Below are 9,147 nucleotides of genomic sequence, written 5' to 3'. Positions count from 1 at the left end.
TCTCGCTCTAATGCCCAGGCTGGAGTGCAATGGCGCGATCTCAGCTCACTGCAACCTCCGCCTCCTAGGTTCAAGTGATTCTCCTGCCTCAGCCGCCCGAGTAGCTGGGATTACAGGTGCCCTCCATCATGCCCAGCTAATTTTTGTATTTTTAGTAGAGACAGGGTTTCACCATGTTGGTCAGGCTGGTCTCAAACTCCTTACCTTAGGCAATCTACCTGCCTTGGCCTCCCAAAGTGCTGGGATTACAGGTGCGAGCCACTGCGCCTGGCCAACTTTTTTTTTTTTTTCCAGCTCTGTCACCCTGGCTGGAGTGCAGTGGCGCAATTATGGCTCGCTGTAGCCTTGACCTCTTGGGCTCAGGTGATCCTCCCACCTCAGTCTCCCAGGTAACTGGAACTACAGGTGTGCACTCGCACCACCACGCCGAGCTAATTTTTGTATTTTTTTGTAGAGATGAGGTTTTGCCATGTTGCCCAGGCTGGTCTCAAACTCCTATTCTCAAACGATCCTCCTGTCTCAGCCTCTCAAAGTGCTGGGATTACAGGCATGAGCTGTGGTGCCAGGACATGAAGAAACTTTTGAGGGTGAAGGATGTGCTCACCATCTTCATTGTGTTGATGGTTTCACTGGTGTGTCTATGTGTCAAAACTTATCAAATTAACCAGGCACCGTGGCTCATGCCTGTAATCCCAGCACTTTGGGAGGCTGAGGAGGGCAGAATACTTGAGGTCAGGAGTTTGAGACCAGCCTGGCCAACATGGTGAAACCCTGTCTCTACTAAAATACAAAGAAATTTTGGGAGGCTGAGGTGGGCGGATCAGGAGGTCAGGAGATTGAGACCATCCTGGCTAACATGGTGAAACCCCATCTCCACTAAAAATACAAAAAATTAGCCAGGAATGGTGGCAGGCGCCTATAGTCCCAGCTACTCAGGAGGCTGAAGCAAGAGAATCACTTGAACCCGGTGAGAGGTGAAGGCAGCTGGGTTTCTGGATCAGGTGGGGACTTGGAGAACTTTTCTGTCTAGCTACAGGATTGTAAACACACCAATCAGCGCTCTGTGTCTAGCTAAAGGTTTGTAAACACACCAATCAGCACTCTGTAAAAACACACCAATCAGAGCTCTGTGTCTGGCCAACGGTTTGTAAACGCACCAATCAGCACTCTGTAAAAACACACCAATCAGCACTCTGTAAAAATGGACCAATCAGCACTCTGTAAAATGGACCAATCAGTGCTCTGTAAAATGGACCAATCATCAGGACATGGGCGAGGCCAAGTAATGGAATAAAAGCTGGCCACCTGAGCTCCCAGCGGTAACCTGTTTGGGTTTCTCTCCTTGCTGTAGAAGATTTGTTTTTTTGCTCTTTGCAATAAATCTTGCTGCTGCTTAGTCTTTGGATCCAGTCTACCTTTAAAAGCTGTAACACTCACTGTGAGGGTCTGTAGCTTCGCTCCTGAAGTCAGCGGGATCATGAACCCACTGGAAGGAACAAACGCCTCTGGAAACACCACCTTTAAGAGCTGTAACACTCACTGCAAAGGTCTGCGGCTTCACTTCTGAAGTCAGCAAGACCACGAACCCACTGGCAGGAAGAAACTCCAGACACATCTGAACATCTGAAGGAGCAAACTCTGGACACACCATCTTTAAGAATTGTAACACTCACTGCAAGGGTCCGCGGCTTCATTCTTGGAAGTCAGCAGAGCAAGAACCCACCGGAAAGAACCAATTCCGGATACCAGGAGGCGGAGGTTGCAGTGAGCTGAGATTGTGCCACTGCACTCCAGCCGGGCGACAGAGCGAAACTCCGTCTCTAAAACAAAAACAAACAAAAAAACAAATAAATTAGCCAGGTATGGTGGCGGATGCCTGTAATCCCAGCTGCTCCGGAGGCTGAGGCTGGAGAATCACTTGAACCCAGGAGGCAGAGGCTGCAGTGAGCAGAGATTGCGCCACTGAACTCTAGCCTGGGCAACAGAGTGTGACTCTGTCTTTAAAAAAAAAAAAAAAAAGTATATTTTACATGCTCAATGTGTCAGTTTATTTTATGTCAATATGTCAGTTTATTGTATGTCAATTTTACCTCTGTGAAGCTGCGAAGTCACTATTGTGGAATCCCAGTGTGTAAAAGCTAAAAGCTAAGAATGGAGCAGCTCTGGATGGTGGGGTGAGGGCTGGAGTACCAGTCCCCATCTGCCCCTGAGGATTATCCACTTCACGCCTGGCCTCCACCTGGCACATTTTGAAAAACCACAGATGCTTTTGACAGAGCCTTGCCTAAAGTCCTGCAGACTGAGTTGAGCAGAACCAGGAGCAGAAACTGGGGTTCCTCCCTGTGTGGCCAGAACGCTGCAACAGGCACTGGTGATGGAGGCCATGTTCATCAAGGGCCTCAAGGATGGCCCAACAGCACAGCTGCTAACCAGCCCTGAGGGTCTACTCTGTGCTAAGCCCTAGTTCTTGGGGAGGGGTAAGGAGACCCCAGTTGCTTGTCCTCAGGGAGCTCTCCATCTACTTGGGAACAAGAAAGAACTGGAATTCAGGAAGCACCAGAAACAGAAAATGACACAGATGACTTGAGTGTCATCTGGGTGTCACACTTGAGTGTCCTGGGCTGGGGAGCTGTTGACCACACCCAGAGAGGGCAGCACATGTGGCATGAGCCTTTTCTCCAGCAGCCCAGGAAGAAGGCACAAGGAACAACACTTTGTGGCAGGGGTAGCAAGTGGTACGCCAGATCCACACTATGTAAATGCCCTCGAGGGAATGTCCCTTATTCCACAGTAGGGATGCTGATACCCAGCGAGGAGAAGGGACAAAACCAGAACAAGAGCCGGCGCCTCCTGACTCCAGTTCCAGTCACTTGCCAAAGCTGCCCCTTGGGAGGGTTTGGCATTTGTGCATCGCAGTGCTGGAGTCTGGTGTTCCCCTTGGTAGGACAGGCTATGGGGACTGAGTCCTGGACCATGAGGCCAGGGCAGGGCCATGACACAGGCTGAGGGGGAGGCATGCAACCTACCCATCCAGGCCTCTCCCCAGCTGTTGCTGGGTCAGGTGCTGACAGACTTTCTCCCTGCTGAGCCCTCTGGCATGCTTGGAGCTCAGTGGTGATAATCCAGAACTTCTCTTCCCTTGGAGGGCTCTTGCATGGAGGCAGAGTTCTAGATAAGGACCTAGAGCTTTGCCCTTTCTTCCGGCCCACCCTCCTCCTTTCCTGGGGACTTAATGAAGAACACCAGGGACGGAAGTAGTCACTCTTGGGCAGGGACACTTGGCCGCCCTAATCAGCCTGCCTACTTCCTGCCCTGGCTCCTGCTCTGAGATTAAGAAAAACAACAACCTCTTAAATTTAGACAACTTCTTTGCCATACATGGGGGATGCTCACATACATGCCCTTATTAAAAATGTTTTTACCCAATCCTCACAATTTGGATGACAAATTATGATCCCCATTTTACAGATAAGGAAACTGAGGCTGAGCAAGATGAAAGATTTACCCTGGCCTTAGAATTAGTAAGTGTTCAGAGTTTGTTCGTGAACCTAAGTCTTTGTTTTTGTTTTGTTTTGCTTTGTTTTGAGACGGAATCTCGCTCTTGTTGCTTAGGCTGGAGTTCAATGGCAATGGTGTGATCTTGGCTCACTGCAACCTCTGCCTCCCGAGTTCAAGCGATTCTCCTGCCTCAGCCTCCCAAGTAGCTGGGATTACAGGCGCCCGCCACTGCGCCTGCCACCGCAACTGACAAATTTTGGTATTCTTAGTAGAGACGAGGTTTCGCAAGGTTGGCCAGGCTGGTCTCAAACTCCTGACCTCAGGTGATCCATTCGCCTCGACCTCTTGATGTGCTGGGATTACAGGCGTGAGCCACCGCATCTGCGCAAGTCTTTGGTTTTGTACTTTTTTATTCTTTATTTTTTAAAGGTCCTCTACCATTTCCAAGACATAGTCTTTCTCTGTTTCCCAGGCTGGAGTGCAGTGGCACGATCACGGCTCACTGCAACCTTGATCTCTTGGGCTCAAGCCATCCTCCCACCTCAGCCTCCTAAAATGCTGGGATTACAGGTGCATGCCACCATGCCTGGCCCCTCAAGTCTTCGGACTCCTAGCTTTCCCCTCCCTACTCCTATCCTTGAGCTCCTGTGAATGCCTAGAGGGAGTGTTATGTGATCGAAAACAGATGAGTGCTGAGATGTTCAAGCTGAATTTGAATCCCAGTTACATGGCTTACTTTTGCTGGACTAGTTACTCCACCCCTCTGGGCTTCAGTTTCCTTATCTGTAAAAGGAGATAATTATAGTAACCACCCATCAGGTTTGATGTGAGAATGACACAAAGCAGCCACATGTGAAGTACTTGGCACATAATAAGCAGAAAGCACTTAGTGAACCACAGCTGCTGTTTAATCACGGGTCCTGCTGGTGAGGCCACGTCTGTCCCGCAGCTCTCTGCACGTACCCTGTCTTGCTGCTGAGCCTCTGTTGCCTCCAGTGCCTTGCCCCGTGTCCTTGCTGGCTGCTGGGAGGATCAGATGAGATGGTGAAGGGCAAAGGGCATGAAGTATGCAGCTTTTTCTCTGCCGGGGTATGAATGACCACGCAAGACCCGGTGTGTTGGAAGTGAGGCTGCTCCTAAAATTTCATCATCTTCTCTGGACAGAAGTGAACTAAGAAAACCCCAAAGCATCCTCAGATATGTTAATACAACCTTCTGCATTCAAAAAGGAGGAAACTGTGGCCCAGAGAGGAGCAGGGACTTCCTCAAGGTCACACAGCAAGGCTGAGTGGAAGCTGGCCCAGAGCTCTTCCCACCTGGCCACATGATTCCTCTGTCTTCCTTCCCCCGAAGGGACTGACCCAGAGAGACCTGGAAATTGTTGCCCAATGTTTAAGGGCAATTACAGGATGGAAAAGCCATGTCTTAGCAGGAGTGGCCAGTGGAAGGATGAGTACCATGGTCAGGAGTCCATAGAACAATGTGGTTTTCCTGTACCCAGCATCACTGGTGGCCATGGGACAGTAGTGTGTACCCACTATGTTGCCCAGGCTTGTAGTATAAAGGACCAAGGCTGAGCATGGTGGCTCACACCTGTAATCCAGCACTTTGGAAGGCCAAGGTGGGCAGACCACCTGAGTTCAGGAGTTCGAGACCAGCCTGGCCAACATGGTGGAACCCCGTCTCTACTAAAAATACAAAAATTAGGCCGGGCTTGGTGGCTCACACCTGTAATCACAGCACTTTGGGAGGCCGAGTGGGCAGATCACGAGGTCAGGAGATTGAGACCATCCTGGCTTACACGGTTAAACCCCGTCTCTACTAAAAATACAAAAAATTAGCCAGGAGTGGCGGTGGGCACCTGTAGTCCCAGCTACTCGGAGGCTGAGGCAGGAGAATGGCGTGAACCCAGGAGGGGGAGCTTGCAGTGAGCCGAGATCGCACCACTGCACTCCAGCCTGGGCAACAGAGTGAGATTCCATCTCAAAAACAAAAACAAACAAAAAAAAAAAACAAAAAAAAAGGACCAAGGCCAAATGTGGTGGCTTACGCCTATAATGCCAGCACTTGGGGAGACTGAGGCAGGAGGATTGCTTGAGCCCAAGAATTCGAGACCAGCCTGGGCAACATGGCGAAAACCCATCTATATTAAAAATACAAAAAAATTAGCCAGATATGGTGGTGTGAGACTGTAGTCCCAACTACTTGAGACGCTGAAGTGAGAGAATCATCTGAGCCTGGGAGGTTGAGGCTGCAAGTGAGCCATGATAGCTCCACTGCACTCCAGCCTGGGTGACAAAGTGAGACCCCTTTTCAAAAAAAAAGAAAAAAAATAGGACCAAAGACTGAGAAGGTGAGAAGGGTCCACCCTTCCTCCCCTAGAGTCTGGGCCCAGCTCCCACCACTGCCCATAAAAGGAGCATAGTCAGACAAGGCAGATCTGGAGGATAAGATGAGGAAGATAAAAATCATTCTTTGAATGGTATGACTTAGAAAACCTAGGTCAAACTGGCTTCACCATAAGGGGAATTAACTGGATTCGAGGTGAGTCCTCAGGTGAGGGCTTCCTCCAGCAGCTCGAGTGGCGTCACTACGGTGTGGTTTAAAATCAGTCCATGCGTTCTTTGGCACTTCCTTTAAAAGGAATCCTAGTTATGCTTCCCTTGGCTGTGGGCTGGACATAGTGACTTGCTTCTAATGAATAGAAAAAAAGCAAAGATGATAGTGTGCAGGTTGTAGAAGGCACTGTGGCTTCCTTCTCTCTATCACACACACAATCATCATCATCATCATCGTCATCGTCATCGTCATCATCGCTCTGGGGAAAGCTAGCTGCTATGGAGAGCCCGCTTGGTGAGGCACTGAGACCTCCTGCCAATTGCCACATGAGTGCACCATCTTCAAAGTGGATCCTCCAGCCCCATCTTGGAAGTGGATGACTGCACCCCTAGCCAACATCTTAACTATAAACACATTAGAGACCCTGAGCCAGAACCACTAATTGGGATCTCTTCCAATTTCCAATCCTCAACTCTGGCGACTCTGGGAGATAATAAATGTTTTTTGTTATTGTTGTTTTTTTTTGTTTTCAAGACAGAGTCTTGCTCTGTCACCCAGGCTGGAGTGCAGTAGCCCGATCTTGGCTCCTTGTAACCTCTGCCTCCCGGGTTCTAGCAATTCTCCTGCCTCAGCCTCCCGAGTAGCTGGAATTACAGGCGCCTGCCACCACGCTCGGCTAATTTTTGTATTCTTAGTAGAGACGGGGTTTCACCATGTTGGCCAGGCTGGTCTTGAACTCTTAACCTCGTGATCCACCTGCCTCGGCCTCCCAAAGTGCTGGGATTACAGGCATGAACCACTGCGCCTGGCCCAATAAATGTTTTAAACTGCTAAATTGGGGGTGATTTGTTACACAGCAATAAGTAACTAATAACACCACAGACTAGGTTCTATTTCTTCTTTCATTGTTTTCTTTTTTTCTTATTTTGGAGACAGGGTCTCCTTCTGTTGCCCAGGCTGGAGTGCAGTGGTGCAATCACGGCTCATTGCAGCCTCTATTCAAGCGATTCTCCTGGGCTAAAGTGATCCACCCATCTCAGACTCCCAAGTAACTGGGACCAAGTAACTGGCTAATAAAAAAAGATTTTTTTTTTTTAGTAGAGAAGAGGTCTCACAATGTTGCCCAGGCTTGTCTTGAACACAAGCTGAAACGATCCTCCCGCCTTGTCCTCCCAAAGTGCTGGGATTGCAGGTGTGAACCACTGTGCCTGGCCTAGGTTCTTTTTCTTCTTGAAGTCTCTGGGCTCTGCCTTCCTCTGTATGTTGACTTCATTCTCAACAGAAATTTTTGGGAATAAGAGCTACTGCATCTCTAGCTCTCACATCCCCTTAACACACTGTCCAGGGAAAGAGAGTACCTCTTCCAGTACTCCTGTAGAAATGAAAAGCAGCTTCTCTCCCTCAAAAAGCTCCACTGACTTCTCTTGGCAAATCCTTGGCTCTGACTGAGGTAGTGTTCATTTCTGTGACTAGAGAGATTGGATGCATATGGCTTCTCCTCCAGGGTCATCAGAGCCCACCCTGGAAGAGTGCTACCAACCCCACCCACTAGCATAGAATTCCAGTAGAGCCCAATATGGCTCTGATGGTGGGAGAGACAGGGAACATATGCTGGGAAGCCATGTAATAGCCATGACATCGGGGTAGTACGTGGAAGGCTCAGAACAGAAAATTCCCCACAGGCCCCAGAACATCCTCTAGAGCAGCAGTCCCCAACCTTTTTGACACCAGGGACCAGTTTTGTGGAAGACAATTTTTCCACAGGCAGCAGGAGCATGGTTTCAGGATGAAATCTTCCCACCTCAGATCATCAGTCATTAGATTCTCATAAGGAGCACAAAACCTAGATCTCTCAAATGCACACTTCACAGTAGGGTTCGTGCTCCTATGAGGATCTTTTTTTTTTTTGACTGGAAGTCTAGCTCTGTCACCCAGGCTGGAGTGCAGTGGCTCGATCTTGGCCCACTGCAACCTCCGCCTCCCGGGCTTAAGCGATTCTTCTGCCTCAGCCTCCTGAGTAGCTGAGACTACAGGTGCGTGCCACCACACCCGGCTCACAGTGAGCCAAGATTGTGTCACTGCACTCCAGCCTGGATGACAGAGTGAGACTTCATCTCAAAAAAAAAAAAAAAAAAAGGCCAGGCACGTGGTGGCTCACACCTGTAATCCCAGCACTTTGGGAGGCTGAGGCGGGTGGATCATGAGGTTAGGAGTTCGAGACCAGTCTGGTCAACATGGTGAAACCCTGTCTCTACTAATAAGGCTTAGAGGTGAAGGGGTGGGTTCTGGAGTCAGACAGACAAGATCTAAATCCTGGTTCTATTGCTCACCAGCTATGTGACTTTCTTTTTTTTTGAGACAGATTCTGCCTCCCAGGCTCAGGAGATCTTCCTGCCTCAGCTCCCAGAGTAGCTGGGACTACAGGTGCGTGCCATCACGCCTGGCTAATTTTTTTGTAGAGATGGGGTTTCTCCATGTTACCAAGGCTGGCCTCAAACTCCTGGGCTCAAGCAATATGCCTGCCTTGGCCTTCTAAAGTGCTAGGATTACAGGCGTGAGCCACCGCGCCCAGCCTATGTGACCTTTGTGTGCCTTGGTTCCTTCATCTATAAAATGGGAGAAGAATGCCCAGGAACACAGGTGGAAGAATTAATGAGATGCAGTAAGGGCTCAGTGCTGGAATTACAGGTGGGAGCCACCGCACCCAGCCTGTGTGAAAATTTTAAGAATTAGAATCAGGCCGGGCACCGTGGCTCATGCCTGTAATCCCAGCACTTTGGGAGGCCAAGGCAGGTGGATCGCTTGAGCCCAGGAGTTCAAGACCAGCCTGGGCCACATGAAAAACCCAGTCTCTACAAAAAAATTTTTTTAATTAGCCAGGCATGGTGGCATGCGTCTGTAGTCCCAGCTACTTGGGAGGCTAAGGTGGGAGGATTGCCTGAGCCCAGGAGGTCGAGGCTGCAGTGAGTTGTGATCATGCCATGTACTCCAAGCCTGGGCAACAGTATGAGACCCTGTCTAAAAAAAAAAAAAAAAAAATCAGAATCACTTTGCTCTAAAACAGATCTTTCAGATAATAAGAGCAGAGCT

General features: G+C 49.4%; 1 annotated feature.

The window, feature by feature from the left end:
- Nucleotides 3,241–3,360: a silencer, noted in NCBI's record as "silent region_436". NCBI's record gives its function as "represses an Ori minimal core promoter by ATAC-STARR-seq in GM12878 lymphoblastoid cells {active_cell/tissue: GM12878}" and the evidence as "EXISTENCE:reporter gene assay evidence [ECO:0000049][PMID:35858748]".

Source organism: Homo sapiens, chromosome 1, assembly GCF_000001405.40.
Source record: "Homo sapiens chromosome 1, GRCh38.p14 Primary Assembly".
Taxonomy (NCBI): Eukaryota; Metazoa; Chordata; class Mammalia; order Primates; family Hominidae; genus Homo; species Homo sapiens.
This window is presented reverse-complemented; position numbering and strand designations above follow the sequence as displayed.